The following is a 20,628-nucleotide window of genomic DNA, read 5'->3' on the forward strand; positions in this document are numbered from 1 at the left end:
CTGTTTATTTCAGGATTCATCTAATTAGTATTACTTAGTGGGTTATTCTGGTTTATCTGCCCACAGCTCAGTTCAAGTTTCAGACTCAATAATAATAAATGCTGCCGTATAATTTTGCACCCTAACCCAATCCCAGCTTAATGAAAAAGGTGACACATGGCCATTTTCCTAATTTCTGAATATAAAATGAGAACAAAACTCTTATACACAAATGCCTCAATCTGCTGCTATTTTTTAAAGATCAACAATATTTTAAGAAATTGATGTAAAAGCCAAATAAGGAGCTCTTGAAATATATCATCAGCAAATAAAACTAGCTTAAGTCACAAAAATAAGTGACAGGCCTAAAGAGAAAACTAATCTATTTAACAGCTAGATCAATGCTGCTTCTGTGATTTGACTTTTCCCCACAGATATACAAATGCAAAGATGCAAAAATTGATATCTTTGTACCAGGGTATAGGGTATGAGCAACAACATAAATTATAATTTAAAAATTCCAAAAAGTCACATTGGAAATGAATGCCATGAATACTTAATCACACTAAATGATAAACTAAATCTTTTTGTATTGACCTGTCAAAAGAAGGCACATATTTTATTAGGCTAATTCAATCAAAGATTGACAGAGATTTGGATCTTCCTTGTTCTTTTTGAGACAGGGTCTGGCTCTGTCGCCCAGGCTTGAGTGCAGTGGCATGATCTCAGCTCACTGCAACCTCCACTTCCCCGGCTCAAACTATCTTCAAGTGGGGATCCTTCTAACAGAAAAACTAGAGAGATCTTTCCAGTTTCTTCTTGGACAAGGTCTTACTTCCTAAACATGAGACAACAGAGACATCTAGTGGCTGCTAGAATAATTTGGACAAAATATTTCAGATATTTTCACCACTTAGGTAACAGTTTGAATTATTACATAGGTAATGTTTCACAGATCTCTCTCCAAACAGTGATTTTCAAGTAAGGTAAATTTCCAATGATGTATTAAGTTATATCTCCACAACAGAGTGACAAACTGACTCCCTCCGAAAAAAAAACAAAAAACACAAGATCCAATTCTTTTGAAATCATTACTATGATAGTACAAAATTAAATTATATAAATATTATTTCCTGAAATAAAAGAACCTGGTGACTACATTCAGTTAGAAAAAAGTTGATCTGGCCACCTATCAGAGTAATTACTTTTGCTTGGAAGGTAAGGTATAAGGGACAGGAGTAAACTTATTAAGCAGATGGAAGTTAGTTGGATAAAATGAGATTAGGCTGGGCGCAGTGGCTCATGCCTGTAATCCCAGCATTTTGGGAGGCCAAGGTGGGTGGATCGCTTGAGCTCAGGAGTTTGAGACCAGTCTGGGCAACACGGTGAAACCCCATCTCTACAAAAATATAAAAATTAGCCAGGCATGGTGGCTTGCACCTGTAGTCCCAGCTACTTAGTGAGAAGATCGGTTGAGCCTAGGAGGCAGAGGTTGCAGTGAGCCGAGATTGTGCCACTGCATTCCAGCACAGGCAACAGAGTGAGACCCTGTCTCAAATAAACAAAATAAAATAAATTTTAAAAGATGAGATTAAAACATAAGGATTTTCCTTTTATTAAACTGAAAGGAAGGTATTTAGAACAGTATCAGAAGCATATTAGGACAGAACTATCGAAAGTTGTCACATATTTATTTACCTGTGATGATGCAGCTTTGAAGAAAGTTAGTATTAATTTCCAAGTGAGAAGGTATCCCAGAACATAACAGAAGTCTTCACTCAGTGGTTTAATAGTAACTATCTGTCCAACAGGAATACACCCCAAAACATTTTCTAGTAAGTCCTCTTGAATGCTAAGAAGAGACATCAGTGCTGCTGGTGGTGACCTAAGAATCAATGATTAAACACCACAAGTTTTCTTTATAATTCATTCCTTAACAAATTGACAGTACTTGTAAACTTCAAGCATTTTAGAAAAATTTCTCTGTTTTCCAAAAAACGTTTTAAAAATTCCCCTCTATTGAGCCAATTTTAACTCCTAATCTCACATAACAGTAAAATAAAAAAGACATATTATAGCACTTGAAGGAAAGACATTTTTAGAAAACGTCTCTTTCAATTTTCTAAGTGAAAAAAAATCACACACCCAGAGAAGCCAAATGATGAGTCCAACGTCTTTCAGTTAGTAGGGGAAACTGTTAGGGATTCTAAATCCTACCCGGCCTTTTATCATCTTATAAAAGACAAAGTGAAGATTAAGACTTCGAACTTTGTCACTTCATTCTAGTTTCTATTTTATTGCATATTATCTACTTAGTACTATTAAGAAATATCACAATGATACTATTAATCGGATAAACACAGAAAATAATTATGTGCCTGTTTAAAAAATCATGATTGTAATCTTTTTAGGAAAATAAATGTACCATTCAGATTAATTCACAACAATGTAAGTTAATTTTCTTCTTTATTGAACTACTCTACTCATTTATACTTTCAGGTGAACTTATGAGATTCTCAAAAAGTAAAATACTTAACTCTCTTCTCCATGATACTCTAGCCTGGTTCTCTCCTTTCACTTCTGTGATCGTTCTTCCCTTGTGGCTTCCTTCTCCCAGCCCACAAGTACAGGCCTTCTCCAAACTTCTGCTCTTAGGTCTTTTCCTTCAACACCTCCATCTCATGTACCCAGCCTTCTATATTCCATACTGATAGTCACTAGATCTTATAAAATACCAGCTCCAAAATCTCTCCACTTTTCACATTGCCCTCCATGCATTGTTATTTAACTTCTGCAATCAGCTCCACCTCTGCTTGCTTCTTTTTACAATTCATGTTTCACATTAGTGTCAGAATCGGCTGGTGGCGCCCTATCTCCTACCAAGTAATGACCAAATCCCCCCAAAAAAGTCATTTTTAAGGCCATTTATTATAGGCCAGGAAGCATTCTGGCCTACAGCATTCTAGCCTATTTCTCTCTCAGAAATAAGAGAGAGAAATTCCTGCCCTCACAGAACTTACATTCCAGTAAAGAAAGATATTATCAATAAAACTATACATTAAGTGGTAACTACTCAATATTCCCCAAGCACATCCTCACATTCATGACTCAGTGCCTTTGTACATGATGTTCTCTTAACTTATGTTGTCTTTCCTGTCCTGCAGAAATGCTACCTAACCTTAAAGGTCCAGTTTAAATGCCTCTTCCTCAAAAGAAAGTCTTCCCTTCCTGATGTACATTAATTGTGCCCTCATACATGCTATCTTATATAGGCCTAACTGACCTTTAAAAAAAAGTTATCTATCCTTTTTCTTAGCACTTATCATATACTATATTTTCCATAACGCTACAGTATCATCTGTATCAGATAAATTCCTTAAGGAAAAGAAAGTGCTCACTAAACACTGCATATTCCCCTCAGCATTTAATTAATACTCTGCACAAAGTGGATGCTCAATAGATACTTGAACCGATACACTCTTTCCACAGCCACCATATGGCCAAAGATAGTTTTACTGAACAGTAGCAAACGGAAAATGTGATTTAAGAACAATTAAGAGAGTGACACAATCTTTTGGGTGAAATCTATATTTCATTTATATCTTACAGATAACTAAAAAGATCTATCTGTAGAATGAATATAACTCTATAGCTTCTGTGCTGCTTCAGTCCTCTAAAGACATTATAAGTGAGATGGATTATAAGAATTTAATAAAACAAATTATTTAAAAAAACCTTACAAGGCTGGCTCTTCTTCTTCATCTCCGTATGACTTTAGATTATCCTGATCATACTGTGGTAATTCAGGCATCAATCTAGAAATTAGAACATTATTTTTAAATATGTGATATTAAACTGTTTATTAAGTCGTGCTCAAGAGCAGAAAGACCAATACTTATTTTATAATGAGTAAATGTTTTAATGAGTTTTCTTTAAAATAACTACTATAGCCAGGACTATTGAAATATAAATTGTGTATAGAGAACAATAACCTAAAAGATGAGGCAACTTAGGGTCCCTATAAGTGAAGCAGTCAGATCTCCTTCTTTTAAAAATTTTACTTTAAATAATTAAAAGTAAAAACTAAGCATATATTCTATTTTTTTAGACCACTGTAACATTGATTCAATTGGATGAATTCTTACTTGTATAGCATATGATAAACAGCAATTTGCACAGGCCTAGCTCTGAAGAGGAGTAATGGGGCCAATGTATTTAACAAAGTCTGGAGATATTCTGGTAAGTTTGTTTTTTGGTCAGCAACTAATCTTGCAGGAAGTTTGTGACTCAATAGCTGTTCCTTTGAGATATACGTTAATGTTTCACACATGGGTTTCAGCATTGCATTCTGAAAGGATGTTTCAGACACATCTTTGTTTTCTCCTAATGACAAAAAGGAAAGAAACATGCACGTCTCAAAAGAAAGTTAGTATAGCTTAAATGATTCACAAACAATCAAATGTCATTTAAGAAAATGAAATAAAAACTAGACATAAACAATAAAGCAGTCTTAACTAGAAACATGAACTGAATATATATTCCAGTTAATCTCAACTGTTTTAATGACTTTTATCTGATCCAGCAAATGTTCAATAGCAAGGTTCTATTCACATCATCCATTCATGTTATCTGAAGTATTATTATTTTAATTTGCAACAGTCATTGGATACCTTGCCATTTTTCAATTTCTGTCTGTAAAGTAAAGCATAGATGATGCTTCTGAGAAGCCAAGCTTTCTCTTCTGGCTTTTTCTTTTACTATTTAGTATTATTTGATTTAAACATCAAAATTTTTGCTTTTGAATTTTTCAGTAAGTCATTTCCAATGAATCAATCTCACTATTATTCCCTTTTTCACTTGCCTGTAACAGTCACCAAAATAGGTAAAAGCAAACTGTGGATGCCTTGGGAAAAAAATTCTTTCCATTCACTGATTAGATTTACAGGAAGATTGCCAATGGTATCCAGAGTTGTGGAATCAAAGAAAGCACTGAGGTCACAGGCCAAATCACAGCTGACACAGGCAAACAGTTGCACAAGTGGAATAGAATACAATGCCTGATTCTCACTTGTTGTCTGAAAAAACAATAAAAATGAAATAGGTAAACAGACTTCTACCAGAACACTACAAATAAAGCCAATATAAAGAAAAGCCCCACTTTCATTTCTTTGAATTTTAAAACGAAAAGCAGTTGAGGTGTGTAATCTCAGGAGAAACATAAAATTTTACATCAAAATAACTTTTTTCTTCAAAATTAAATACCATGAATAGAATCATTAATAAACAATTTATTCTCAAGTACCCTTTTTAATTTCTAACCCATGGAAGGAAACACTAAGTCAGACACATTAAATACACATTTATAATCTTCTCAGTAGCCCTACAAGTTGTAAGTTATTATTTTAAAATAAGAAAATCGGCCAGGCACAGTGGCTCATGCCTGTAATCCCAACACTTTGGGAGGCTGAGGCAAGTGGATCACATGAGGGCAGGAGTTTGAGACCAGCCTGGCCAAAATGGTGAAACCGCATCTCTACCAAAAATATAAAAATTAGTCGTGCATGCTGGTGGGCATCTGTAATCCTGCTATTTGAGAGGCTGAGGCACAAGAATTGCTTGAACCCAGAAGGCGGAGGTTGCAGTGAGCCAAGATCGCACCATTGCACTCCAGCCTAAGCAACAGAGCGAGATTCTATCTCAAATTTAAAAAAAAAGAAAGAAAGAAAGAAAGAAAACTGAGTCTCAAATAGTTTAAGTTTAAAACTCTAAGTCACATAGCTAATAGCAGGCAAAGCAGAGATTCAGACCAATCCAACCCTGACTGACTTGCTGCCTTGGAGCCCACAAGTAATATACCTCTGGTTGCTTTGGGTCAAAAATTACACTAATTCCCTCTGAATCTGCTACTATTTAATGCATTACTCTCACAATATTCACACAGTATGTTTTAGAAATAATCTAATTATAACCAAAAAAGACCAAAATAATTGTCATTAACAGATAAAACCTGAAAGGGCTGTGCTGCAAATATTACAATAAGCTAATGGAGAAGGCATTTTAATAACAGGAGATTTGGTCACTGAATGATGCTGGTAGTCATTAAAAATCTATCATTTTACTATTCTGTCAAATAGTAGCTGGTAAGAAGAACATCTATAAAGTGTTTTAAATTATACAAAGGAACCAATTACAATCATCACTTAAAGAATGAGATTAGTAAATAGTTCTGATGCAAAAGTATGTACAAAAACCCACAAGAGGTGATGACATATCGGGTTAATTTACCTCCAACCAAGCCAACATGGAGCACATGATGAAGTCCCACTCACTCTCTGCCAAAGGGGATGAGCAGTATTTCAGAAATAGGGAAAGAAACCGGATTATTTCTATATTTACACCCAGTACCTCTGGACTTGCTTCTGATAGATTACTGTGATAAAGATAAAAACAAAAGACAATAAAAGATTATATTGACATTCAATTAGAAAGTATGCTACTTTAAATCTTACATACTTATTTATAACTGACTTAAATGTCTACCATAATTTCTCTACAAAATTGTGACACAGATACGTAATCTTTGTCTGAATTGTATACTGAAGGAAAAACATAGTATAAAGTATCACCTACCAACTGAAAAGAAAAATATCTTCATGCTCTTTCTTCCAGGATATTATGATTTTTAATATTCCATGTAATAGCTCTCCATCATCTATACTTTTGGTTTGCAGACAAGAATTGAAAATGGCAAGATGTCCAAAACCTCCTAAAGTAAAATTCAAAATGAAAATTAAAAATATTTAAGAACTATATCGCTACTATTAAAAAAAAGTCCACTTTGAGAAGTAAAAGACTTTCTTGAGAAGTGTTCAGGTTAAGAACTCTAATAATGACTTTTATCTAAGAGTCAACAAATGAGCTTATAAGCTCCAAAGGGCAGAGACCCTGTCTCCAAACCCAGCACCTAGCACACAATAGAGAATTTGGGGGAGGAGAAAGAGTGAATGATGCTGTAATTTAAACTGACTTATGCTGTTTTTGTTTTGGTTTCTTAAGTGCAGGACATATTCAGCAAACTCATCATTCAAATAAAAAAAACCCTACAGCTACAGAGTAGCTGGAAACAGCAAATGGAAAATAGAACATACTGTTTCATAATTTATACATTCATTCACTCAATAGCAGCTAGTACATGTGGTAAACTCTGATGTGGACTCACTCTTTAGAATCTCTACCATTCCTCAAAATCCATCCACTGGTGTATCTTAACACCCTCTGTCCCCAACCTTCTATCTTACATACCAGCCAAAATGAACAATCTGTACCCTTGTATGTTTTTGTGTACCTGGAATGCCCTTCCCCAACTATGTCCATATGGAAAACTATTTATCCTTCAACACCCAGTAGAAATATTTCTCTTTGTGAAATTGCCACTAACACCCTCAAAGCAGAGTGGAAACTCCTTCCTTTCTGCCACTTCTATACATAGCACATCTTTTTGCTACATCGGTTATCACATAATACAACTTTATGTTTGTCTTCTCTACAATAGGAACTACCATGTAGCAGGTGCTCATAAATGTTTATTAAATTAATAAACAAATGAAAAGTGCAGTGTTTTAAATACAACAGACGCTATTTTTGCCTTTATATGTTCAATCATTGATTGGCTAGGGAGAAATGAGGCACAGCTTTAAAAAGCTATAGATAGAAAAGAAATGGTTAGAAGGTATTTCTGGGCGTAAGTCTTCCCTTAAGGCCCAGCATTTTTGTACTGTAAAATGGTAACAGCCACTGTCTAACAACACTCATCCATATAATCTCAGAACAAATCAGCTGTAATTCAATTTACCTCTGCTAGATGTGGTCTTATATATTAGAAACAGTTCTTCATCTCAAGCAATAATTAAATTAATGAAATATTTATTATCAAGCAACTAACCATTAGTGCTGCAAAGATCTTTCTTAGTCCAGCCCAAAAGAGCAGGTATACATTGAGCACTAAATTCTTTCTTTTCTTCTTTTGACAAAAATGGACATAGACTTTGAATGGTATGCAAATTGCCTTCAGTTAGTGGAAAAAAACTGTTTAAAGAAAAAAAAAACACAAGTTAGATTTCTTCCAAACATACAGTTATTTTATATATTTCTTTTATTTAGACTACTGAAAAAGATAGATGAATAATTCTATCACATATAATTACATAAAAAGAAACTATGATAGATTTAACAAGTGCTGACTTGATGAAATTGGTTTTTTTTGCTCCTTTTCTCTTTTCTGCATAAATTTTTTAAATGAGCATATATAACTTTTCCCCATATATGATTTTTTAAAATTATACTAGCCACATGACATTATGTCCTCTTTTAAAAAAAAAAAAGAGTCAATTGCGGGGTGCGGTGGCTAATGCCTGTAATCCCAACACTTTGGGAGGCTGAGGAGGGCAGATCATGAGGTCAGGCGTTTGAGACCAGCCTGGCGAACATAGTGATACCCCATCTCTACTAAATATACAAAAAATCAGCCGGGTGTGGTGGCAGGCACCTGTAATCCCAGCTACTCAGGAGGCTGAGGCAGGAAAATCACTTGCCCCTGGGAGGCAAAGGTTCCAGTAGCTTGAGATTGGGCCCCTGCACTCCAGCCCTGGTGATAAAGCAAAACTCTGTTTCAAAAAAAAAAAAAAAAAAATAGAGTCAATTGATTCAACTTAAATAAATAGTACCAGTTGTGTGTCCTTTCTTTTCTTTCTTTTTTTTTTTTTTTTTGAGACGGAGTTTCACTCTTGTTGCCCAGGCTGGGGTGCAATGCACGATCTCAGCTCATTGCAACCTCTGCCTCCCAGGTGCAAGTGATTCTCCTGTCTCAGCCTCCCAAATAGCTCGGATTACAGGCATGCACCACCATGTCTGGCTAACTTTTTTTTTTCATTTAGTGGAGATGGGGTTTTACCATGTTAGTCAGGCTGGTCGCGAACTCCTGACCTCAGGTGATGCAGCCATCTTGGCCTCCCAAAGTGCTGGGATTCCAGGCCTGTGTGTCCTTTCTTTGAACTGATATTCGTATTTGTGCATATATATAGTTGGGTTTTATTCACATAAAAAGGATGACACTAAACATATTGTTCTATCATTTACCACTTACATATACTTTCTGTCAGAACATATAAATTATTCTGTTTTAAAGCTACGTAACAAAAATGAACAAAATCTACCTAACACTCCATACTATGGAGGTATCATTATTTAACTATTTCCCTATCAGTGAACATTTAGGTTTCTCCCCTCCCCAAATTTTTGCTGTCACACATAATGCTGCAATAAATATCCTTAAGAAGATACTATTCTGTGTATGTATAAACACCTCTTTAGGCTAAATTCCTAGAAGTGGAATTGAAAGCTCAAAGGATTTGAATGTATTATATGTTGGTGATCTCAAATTGCTTCTGAAAACACATAATCAACTTATACTTTCACCAAATATGCACAGGTGTGACTGTTTAGCTGCACATTTAATGAATCTTTTTGATTCTCGGCAATATAGTGGATAAAACCATTGCTCTTAATTTGTACTTCTGTCATTATTAGTAAGGCAAATCCTTTCATATTTCACATTTCAGTATTGAGCTACCTTTGACCATTTCATCTATGAATTGCCTCTTTAAGTCTTTGATAAATTTTCCAATTTGGAGGGTTTTACTGATTTATATAAACTATATGTAGATAGTTTTTTGTTGATTTGCAAATGTCATCTCCCATTTTGTCATTTGTCCCTGTAATCTTTATATTTTGTCGCAGTTTTCATCTTTCAGAAATACTATATAAAAAATTTTAACTGTCATAAAATACACATAAAATTAATGTATTAGCCATTTTAAAGTGTAGAGTTCTGCAGTGTTAAGTACATTCACACTATTGTGCAACTAATCTCCAGAACTCTTCATTCTGCAAAACTGAAACTCTACCCACTAACACGAATGCTCCATTCCTCTCTCACCCTCGGCCCCAGGCAACCACCTTCTACTTTCTATCCCTATGAATCTGACTACTCTACAGAAGGAATCATAGAGTATCTGTCTTTTTGTAACTGGCTTATTTCACTCAGCATAATGTCCTCAAGGTTCATACAGACTGTATGTAGCATGTCAGAATTTCTTTCCCTTTTAAGGCTGAATAATATCCCATTATATGGTTATACCACACTTTTATTTATCCATTTATCCACTGATGGGCACTTAGGTTGCAAGTTTTCATTTTTACAGAATCAAATATATATATATTTACATAAAATGTAAAGGAGAAGGTCTCAGTATTTTTCTTCCAAACACACAACCAATTTTCCCATCATTATTATTTACTCACCACAGTGATTTGAAATGCCACCTATATTAAAAACTAAATTCACATTTATGTGTGGATAGGTTTCTGGACTGTATCCACTGATTTGTCTACTCTTCAATTTCATACTGCTTAATTACTATAATTCAATAATATATGTTATATTTGGCATGCAGTCTCTTTCACTTTTTTCAAAAATTTCTTATTTTTGAGAACTTTTTCCTTCAAATGTATACTATGTTCAGAACAGTTTACTAAGTTTTTCAAAAACTGCTGAAATTTTGATTGAGATCGCACTGAAATTATAGATTGACACAATCATTTTTACAATTTATCTTCCCACCTTCTTTTGTGATCTTTATTCAAGTTTTATAATTGTAATTTTTTGTTAAGTTTATTTCTAAGTATTTATAGTTTTTGTTATCATTGTGAATGGAATCTTCTTTTTCTCCCATACCATTTTTTAAATTGATTACTATGGGTAAATAAGAAAGCTATTCATTTTTGTGTGGTAAATATACATCCATCTCCTTAGTAATTAGTTCCAATAGTTCTTTAGCTAATTCCGTATTACTTTTATAATCAGAAAAAAATGTTAATTATGCTAAAAAAGCTAATGTCAAAAAGTTACATACAGTATGATTCCATTTATATAATATCATTTTTTGTCTTGTTTTGAGACTGGGTCTCACTCTGTTGCCCAGGCTGGAGTGCAGTGGCGTGATCTCTGCTCACTGCAACCTCCACCTCCTGAGCTCAAGTGATCCTCCCACCTCAGCCTCCTGAGTAGCTGCAACTACAGGTGCACACCACCACACCTAGCTAATTTTTGTATTTTTTTGTAGAGATGTTTCGCCATGTTGCCCAGGCTGGTCTCGAACTCCTGGGCTCAAGCTGTCCTCTCACTTTGGCCTTCCAAAGTGCTGGGATTACAGGCATAAGCCTCCACACCTGGCAAATTCCATTTATAAAATATTCTTAAATGACATAATTACAAAGAGAGAGAACAGATTAGTGGTTGCTAGAGATTAGGACAATGGGAAGGGGAAGGGAGGTGGCTGAGGCTATATATGGATAACGCAAGGGATCCTGATAATGAAACTGTTCTGGACTTGACTGTGGTGGTGGTCACAGATGTGAGCTACACAGAACACACGCACACTCTGTCTCTCACACACACAAACATACACAAACATGTGCATGTAAACTAAGTCAACTGACTGTATCAATGCCTTTTCCTTGGTTGTAATACTATGCTAAAGTTATGCAAAACAGTACCACTGGGTAGATGTATGATTTATTCTTTGTATTACTTCTTACACATTCATGTGAATCTACAATTACCTCAAAATAAAAAGTTTTTTAAAACTTTTAAGATAAAAAACAGTCAAAATTTAATTTAGAATTCTACTATGCCAGAACATGTATCTATCATTTCAGAATTCTTCTTGGTAAATCAGTAAATTCAAAATGCCTCTTGGTAAATCTCAGCTAAGTATTAATTTGAATGCTGAGCTTCACCAGCACACCCAAACCCACAATCTACTTCTTTGTCTTAAGAACAGACACATTTGTTACATTTCTAGAATATATTTCAATAGGATGATGTTATTTAAGAGAAGAGTAACTTTCCCTATCACTTCCATATAGCAAATAAAGTGATGGAAAAAGAGTATTAGGAAAGGGCAAAAGAAAAGATTTCTATCAGAGAGATTTCTGGGGAAAAGAAAACAAGTTCATGAAATGCTGTTGGCTTAAAAAAAAAAGTACAGTATAAAATTCTACAACAAAAGGCTATAGAGTTAAAACTATTTACTTTAAAAAAAAGGTGTCGGCCAGACATGGTGGCTCACACCTGTAATTCCAGGCCTTTGGGAGGCTGAGGCAGCAGGACTGCTTGAGCCCAGGAATTCAAGACCAGCCTGGGCAACCTGGCAAGACACCATCCCTACAAAATTAAAAAATTAGCCAGGTGTGGTAGTGCACACCTGTGGTCCCAGTTACTCAGGAGGGTGTGGTGGGAGGATCACTTGACCACAGGAGGTTGAGGGTACAGTGAGCCATGTTCGCATCACTGAACTCCAGCCTGGGCAACAGAGTGAGACCCTGTCTCAAAATAAATAAATAAATAAATTCAAAGGTATGTCCCTAACCTAAAACAATTTAATTTGCCTTGAAGTCGTTAATTTCCTCATTTCCTAAACCTGTTTTCTTGATTCATTAGAAATTATTCATTAATTAGGGGTTGCCAAAGTGACCGATTACAGTAAACTACAAAGTAAAAACATTTTAAATAAGAATACCTTTCTTTTCTCTTATAATGTGGTTTTACTTCATCAGATGAAATGCTTCGGGAAAGGATCAACTTAGCAATAATAAGAGACCACAGTGTGCCATGTTCTCTGGACCTGAAAAAGGAAAGAAAAAAATTATATTCCGTTTTGAAAGCATACTGAATAAAATGTTTAAACACTGGCTAGCTGGATTCCTTTTACAGAATTAAATAAAGCACCTTGTGATGGCATCAATTCACCTAAGACTTTGCACCCAAGCAACTGCCAGTAATTATCCAAAGAGCTGAGAGTTTCGGCTTTCAACACTCCTTCAAGGCTGGTATTGAGCTCTCTCATCCCTAGGCAACTCCACAGTCTCTTCAGTCCCAATAGGGGAGATGATCTTAGAGATTAGGCTTGAAGACCAGAGGCTGTAGCTGGGAAAAAGACATCTCCCAGAGGACACCTAGGCAGGCTTAAGTTGAACAATCAAAGAGGTTCTTTGGTTCTGAGGAAAGTTGTGTCAACTAAGTAGAATGCGATTGGAAAGGAAGCCTGGGTCCTCTGATACAGCAAAGCATACTCAAAATACTATCGGCAAGTGATAAACTCCTAAAAAGAAAGCAGTTCAATACAGTAATTTCAAAAAGCTAAACATCTTACTACTACAACCTCTACAAGGACTGTTTTCATACCTGCCTTCCTAATCTAGGGGAGAGGGCTTTGTGGTCATAACATTAAGACACACCTATAACAACATGTAAGATAAAGGATGAATCTGAGAGCACTGGGAGGATGAGTCACAGATAAATCAAAACAACTTCTACAAGCTTCTACTTCTTTTTTGTCATCTGACCCTTGTATGTATTTATGGATTTAATAAGACAGGCAGAATACAAATATCTTCCCCTGAGAAGGTTAAATCAAGTATTTAGAATTCATAAACTATTTATTATTAAGAATAGGAATTATTTAGATCAATCCTCTGACTGAAACATTAGCATGCAGTAGGGTTACCTCTTACAGAAGGCAAAGCCATAAAGAAGTAGCATAGTCATTTTAAAAACAAATTGAAAGAGATTCTTACCTGTTAAATAACAGCTGCAAAAGGCCCGACGTATTACCAAGTACACGTAAGTTATCATACGTAATATTCATTTTTTGAAGTATTTCACAAAATCCAATTAGAAAAATAGGTGGGTTATCTAATTCTTCACACCACTGCAGTGAATAAAGCAGTTCTGCAACTAAAAGAAGAGACAGCACCAAATTATGAAAAGCACTCTGTGAACAAACCCTTCAATTACTTTCACTTCTCCACCTTGTTTTCTAACACTGTTGTGCCCACTCATCTCAAAACTCCTATGAACTGATTTTTCAAATCTGCTTTGAGATGTTCAAGGACAATGAAAACTGAGAATATATGTCTGATACAAAATACCACCCTTTTCCCAAATTCTACTTGGTCCTTTTTCTAATTAGTTAAGAATGTGACAAGAACCTAAGTTACTAGAGATACTGAAAGAATCTTCCTACCATTTTGGCACAATTGGTAAAAAGTTCCAGACAGGAAAAACAACTAAGGGACCCAAGACCTGAGGTGAGAAGTTCATGGCAAATGGGAGAAATGGGAGACAGTATGATACAGTAAAAGGACATGAGGCCTCAATTACAGATTGGGGTGGATTCAAATCTGCATCTCTCTCTCAAGCTATATAAATAGTTATCAATTAGGATACTACGAACTACCTCACAGGACTGCTGTGATAATTAAATGGCCAAGTATCTATCATAAAGCCTGGTATATCATAGGTTTCTAATACACAGTCACAGCTCCCTTTTATAAAGCCATGTATAGCTTTTGGAGTCAGAAGCATTGTGACCTGGTTCAAAATCTAATCCTACACTTACCAGCTAAGCAGCTCTAATCAAGTCATGGTAACAAAAACAACAATAATATCTGACTAATGAGCTCGATAAAATTAAAGAAATAATATTGCCAATTTGTAATTAGTAACACAAAAAATTATTACTCTACTTACTAGTTTTGGATTTGCACAGATTCACCCTGTGAGCAATGTTAAACTACAGGCTTGTTTCCTTTCCCTTAACTAAATGTGAAGGTGGCTGCCCAAAAGAGGTGTTTCAACTTTCTTCCACAGAGCATATATTCCCCCTTCTAGTAACTGTGTTACAGCTGAGGGCTTACAAACAAGACTGATACAGGGTTTCTGCAAATTCTCTACCTTTAATACCATCTTGTAAAAGTCACTCCACCACCTATAATTCTAAACCATTTGTTGAAACAGGGAAATTTGCTGAGGCCCTAAGTCCTCTTAGGGTTCAACATTTGAACGTCCACTTGCCAGAAAAAAAATTAGAGCCCGATGAAATACAAAAGTATTCAAAACCATTGGAATCAAAACAGCATGGTATTTGTATAAAAACAGACACACACAGACCAATGGAACAGAACTAGAGAACCCAGAAATAAATCCACATATTTGCAGGCAATTGACAAAGTCTTCAACAAAAATGCCAAGAACATATATTGGGGAAAGGACATCCTCTTCAAGAAATTGTGCTAGGAAAACTGAATATTCATATGTAGAAAAGTGAAAACAGACCTCTATCTCTCACCATCTAAAAAGATCAACTCAAAATGGATTAGAGACTTAAACCTAAGAACTGAAACTATATAAAACAACTAGAAAGCATCAAGGAACGCTATAGGACATTGGTCTAGGCAAATATTTTTATGGCTAAGACTTCAAAAGCGAAGGCAACAAAAACAGGCAAATAGGACTATGTTAAACTAAAAGCTTTCTGCACAGCAAAAGAAACAATCAACAAAGTGAAGAGACAATCTGTAGAATGGGAGAAAATATTTGCAAACTATTCATCCAACAAGGGGCTAACATAAGGAATATATAAGGAACTCAAACAACTCAACGGCAAGAAAGGAAAAAAAAATCCCATGCTCAATATTAGTAATCATCAGGGAAATGCAAATCAAAACCCCAGTTAGAATGCCTCTTGTCAAAAAGGTAAGAAATAAGCTGGGAATGGTGGCACTGCTTGTAATCGCAGCACTTTGGGAGGCTGAGGCAAGAGGATTGCTTGAGCCCAGGATAAAGACCTGTCTGGGCAACATAGTAACACCCCATCTCTAAAAAAACAAAGACAAAAAATAACAAATGCTGGCAAGAATGCAGAGAAATAGGAACTTATATACTATTGGTAGGAATGCAAATTAGTACAGCCATTTTGGAAAACGATATGGAAGTATTTCAAAAAACTAAAAATAGAACTATCACACAATCCAGCAATCCCATTGAATATTTAGAAAACCAGTATATCAAAGGTATATCTGCACCCCTATATTTGCTGCAGCACTATTCACAATAGCTGAGATATGAAATCAACCTAAGTGTCCATCAGTGAATGAATGGATATATAAAATGTGGTACATATGCACAATGGAATACTATTCAGCCATTAAAAAAAGAATGAGGCCAGGCACGGTAGCTCACTTCTATAATCCCAGCACTTTGGGAGGCTGAGACGGGCGGATCACGAGGTCAGGAGTTCAAGACCAGCCTGGCCAACATAGTGAAACCCCGTCTCTACCAAAAATACAAAAATTAGCTGGGCATGGTGGTGTGCGCCTGTAGTCCCATCTACTTGGGAGGTTGAGGCAGGAGAATCACTTGAACCTGGGAAGCAGAGGTTGTGGTGAGCCGAGATTGCGCCACTGCACTCAAGCCTGGGCAACAGAGCGAGACTCTGTCTCAAAAAAAAAAAAAAAAAAAAAAGGAATGAAATACTGTCATTTGCAGCAACATGGATGAAACTGGACATCATCATGCTAAATGAAATAAACCATGCACGGAAAGACAAACATCACATGTTCTAATTTGTATATGGGAGCTAAAAAAGTGGATCTCATGAAGATAGAATAGTATAGTAGACTGATGGTTACCCTGAGAAGGGTCAGGGAGAGCAGGGGATGAAGAGAGGTCGGTGAATGGGTACCAAAATACAGTGAGAGAGAAGATATATGACCTAGTATTCAATAACACAGTAGGATGACCATAGTTAACAATGATTTATATTGCAAAATAACTAGAAGATTTGAAATGTTCTCAACACAAAGAAATGATAAATGTTTGAGGTGATGGATATCCTGCTTAGCCTGATTTGATCACTACACATTCTATGTATATATCAAAATATCACATGTACCCCATAAATATGTAAAATTATCAGGTATCAATTTTTTTTTAATCAACAGAAAATTCTGAATCCTTGATAAAACACCAAAGCCTCACCCATTTTCTTTAGGGTATGTGCCACAGGATCTGTTTACATTGATGTCATGACAGCCTGAGTAGCTAACACCAAATTACGATCCACAGTTAACAAGATTATAGCAAGATTCCAATATATTCGTATCTAATTTGCAATTTCACATTCACCACTTAAGTAACTTCAAGGTTCTCATCATTAAAATAGGAAAAAGAAAGCTGAAGATTCTTGAATTAAAGATTTAAACTGCAGTATAATCAAGATTATTTCAAAATTATATTCATTCATGCATTATGTTATATGTAAATACTCATATATACTTACTTATTTTCTCAAGCTCATTATTTTCTAAGACTGTTTCCTTTCTCAGTGCAATTAAGACCATTTTGCTCAATAATGCTGAAGTACACAAATGGCTGGGAAGTGTCTTTATGTCCTGTTCCTTAAAATCTGTTTTGAAACATTCATAATTCAAACTCAATCTTCCCTCTAAAAGAGGTCTATGTAACCACTGTGAAAAGAATACGTTATATACAAAATTATTTATTACCTAAGCAATTGAGACTGAACAAAAATGAAGTTGTGAGAATATTTATTACCAAAACCACAGAAACCTAGAAGTTTGTTTTCTTTTACAGGAAATTATCAACATGTGTATTTCTTTAAGACTCCTTAAGTACAGAACTAGGTCCTAAGTCTTTGTACCATGCCCACTGCCACTGTCAAATGGTGTCTTGCAAAAAGCAAACATCCAGTATATGAGCATACAAAGACATCAAAGCAAAGCAAAATACTCATTTTATTTATGTTTTTCTTCCCCAAAATAAAAATATTCAAGCTTGCATGAAATCCAAACTTCAGAATGAGATATGTACTCTTCAATTTCCAAAATACCTGCATAGGAAGAGACTGCCTCATCTTTTCCCATTCACTGTCGTTCGGCATTACACTTCCAATATAAACTCCCATAAGATAAGAATCTTCACTCTCTAGAAGTGTATTTAGCAAATCATCAACAGCAGACAAGAGGACTTGGAGACTAAAAATAATGCAGAGAACTTAACTGTTGTAGTTACGCTATGACTAGTTTGAATACCCCAATACATATTAAATACCCTATAATAGCTCACCTGAACAAAAAGAAATGATGAAAATAAAAAGAGGTAAGTGACATTCCCCCACCGATGACACACCAACATAACAGTCAAACTGGGGAGGTAATCCAATATTTATCATTTGAAATCTAGTGTTGCTTCCTATCTATCTCAGAATGAAGAGGACCTGACCTATTTCAGACCAGGTATTTCAGAAATACAGCTACCTTATGAAATGCAGCACTATTTTACCTAAACCCAATATCCTCTAAATGCATTCTCTCTTCTCCTTTATTATATGGATTTAGGTATGAGAGGTAAAATATACTTGCAATTCAACATCTTAAAACACTGCCTACCTGTCCCCAAAAAATAAATAACCAAGAACAATCAGTACATGTGGTGACCATGAGAGGCTACAATGCACACCAGCCTATGACAAAGGATAGTATCACCATCACTTTACTGTCTATAAGTTATGAGTCCAGCAGGTATGTTATAGCAAATTATCCTTCAATTAACTGGCAGTTTAAATGGATGGTCATTGAAACAAAATGGTTTTGGAAAAATTCGTTTGGGTCTTTTCATAAGAGTCCTGTAGATTTGTTACCTAACAAGTCACTTTTCATTTCTCTTTTTTTTAAGAGATGGCATCTCACTATGTTGCTCAGGCTGGTCTCAAACTCCTGGAGGTCTCAACTGATCCTCCCACCTCAGCCTACTGAGTAGCTGGGATTATAGGGACGAGCCCTACAAGTCATTTTTCATAGGCACTCACACTGATCATGGAATCTAATTTAAGGACACTGTTCAAGTATAAAAGAGACACTGAAACCAAGCTCAAAAAAGGTTACCTGTTGATATCCAAAGATGAAGCCTGAACTTGGTTCTTCAGCCACAGAGCAGACAAATGTAGGAAGGTACTCTCTTTATATGAACTGTCAGTTTGATGAACCAATAAATTTACACCAGAGAGCCAAGTATTTTTCAGTTTACAGATAAGAAAATCTAAAATCAAGATGTCAACAGGAATTTGTAATCTCACTGAATTAACTCTCATCAGCACAAAATGTTTGAAACAACTCTACAGATCTGAGATTTTTTTAAATACCATTTAAAAAAGAAAAATTTTAAATTGCCATTCAAAATTCAATTGCCAAACAAAGCAACTGTGTCATAAACATGCAATCATACAAGCTAGCACGTATCATATAAATGTAAAATGGTAAGATTTTTAAAGTTACATTTTTTATGCTTGAACTTATTTACAAGAGTTGTCCTTTTGGAGACATTTTTAAAAAAATTATTACACCATTTCCAAATACAGAAGTTAGTATTTAAGAAAGGGTTGGTAGCCAATGATGGGCAGAAAAAAAAGAGAGAGAGAAAGAGGAAGGAAGAAGGAAAGAAAAAAAGAAAGGAAAGAATGAAGGGTGGGAGGAGGAGAGCTCTCTATAGATAGTATTTTTTTATGTTCCTTTCACAAATAAGTCTGAATTAGCATATAAGGCAAGAATATAGTCCTTAAAAAGATAATTTCAATTCTATTTTGATATACACCAAAGATTGAATGTTTTTACTATAATAAAGGGATATTATTATCCCCCTTTTACAAATGAGGAAACTAAGACATCAAGAAATTAAGGAACATGCCAGAACTACTGAATGGACTAAGATTCCACCTAATCAATTATGGCTCATTCCAAATTTCTTTGAATATCAAGTGAGATCTTTAGAAATAACATCTACGTACATCTTTAACTTGCTTTCTAGAGCTGAAAGTGTTTAAGACTGTAGCCCTTTACTCAAAATGCTTTAAACTTTCAAACACATTATAATTCAATTAATAAAGCCTGGGCACTTACACTCACTATGAAGGTCAGAGCCGGAGATTCCCAACAAAACATTTGAGCAGTAGGCTATTACCTGGCAAATGTGTTTTTTCTTTGCTCTGAGCACATAACTGAAAGAGAGTTAATAATAAATCTTCAGATGATGGCATTAGCAAGCATCCTTTCGCTGAGCTGAAATAGTTATAGGCCACATCACAGATAAAAGACACTGATGAGTCACTGCTTTCAGCTTCTGATAATTTCTTTGTTTTGAATAAAGTTTCATGAAGTCTAACAATGATTCTTTCAACATATACGTCTCCAATCAAGTAATCTGGAGAAAAAAAGGTTCAAACAGACAAAAAATAAAAATATTAACGTGTATTTTTAAATATCTTACTTTGGATTAATAATTCTATGGGTCTTTCCTGGATTTTAAAATGTATTAGACAAAATTTTATCAACAAATCAACACATTCTCTCACACATAAAGGCCCTCAAGTAAAAAAGGCAGTTTTAAATTAAGTAGAAAACAGAAATGGTCTACAGTTAGGGTGAGCAAGTTTGTACACTGAAAACCCTTTAAGTCATGAGTCAACTTTATGAGCTAAAAAAAAAAAACCCTTTAGGATATAGAACTAAAAATATTAAATATCTTCTAAGTCATGGTATGAAGATTAATAAACAATTAGGGTGCTTACAATATTACGATATGTAAATGAGCTGGGCGCAGCGGCTCACGCCTGTAATCCCAGCACTTTGGGAGGCTGAGGCAGACAGATCACCTGAGGTGAGGAGTTCGAGACC

The 20,628-nt window shown here is 35.3% G+C and overlaps 1 protein-coding gene across 6 annotated transcripts in view; it reads right to left on the minus strand.

Annotated features, from left to right (window-relative positions):
• Positions 1-20,628, minus strand: part of LTN1 (listerin E3 ubiquitin protein ligase 1) — a 64,734-nt gene that overhangs the window by 11,399 nt on the left and 32,707 nt on the right. For all 6 annotated transcript variants that reach the window (NM_001320766.2, NM_015565.3, XM_047440741.1 and 3 more), the window contains 13 exons: positions 19,916-20,155; positions 18,844-18,997; positions 17,790-17,934; positions 17,220-17,406; positions 13,675-13,834; positions 12,618-12,722; positions 7,922-8,064; positions 6,610-6,745; positions 6,265-6,409; positions 4,841-5,054; positions 4,125-4,362; positions 3,720-3,794; positions 1,678-1,864 (listed from right to left, as the gene is read on the minus strand). In NM_001320766.2, coding sequence (NP_001307695.2) covers positions 1,678-1,864; positions 3,720-3,794; positions 4,125-4,362; positions 4,841-5,054; positions 6,265-6,409; positions 6,610-6,745; positions 7,922-8,064; positions 12,618-12,722; positions 13,675-13,834; positions 17,220-17,406; positions 17,790-17,934; positions 18,844-18,997; positions 19,916-20,155 — 2,129 coding nt within the window. The remainder of the gene's footprint in view (positions 1-1,677; positions 1,865-3,719; positions 3,795-4,124; positions 4,363-4,840; positions 5,055-6,264; positions 6,410-6,609; positions 6,746-7,921; positions 8,065-12,617; positions 12,723-13,674; positions 13,835-17,219; positions 17,407-17,789; positions 17,935-18,843; positions 18,998-19,915; positions 20,156-20,628) is intronic.

The sequence above is a fragment of the Homo sapiens genome, chromosome 21, assembly GCF_000001405.40.
Source record: "Homo sapiens chromosome 21, GRCh38.p14 Primary Assembly".
NCBI classification, from domain to species: Eukaryota; Metazoa; Chordata; class Mammalia; order Primates; family Hominidae; genus Homo; species Homo sapiens.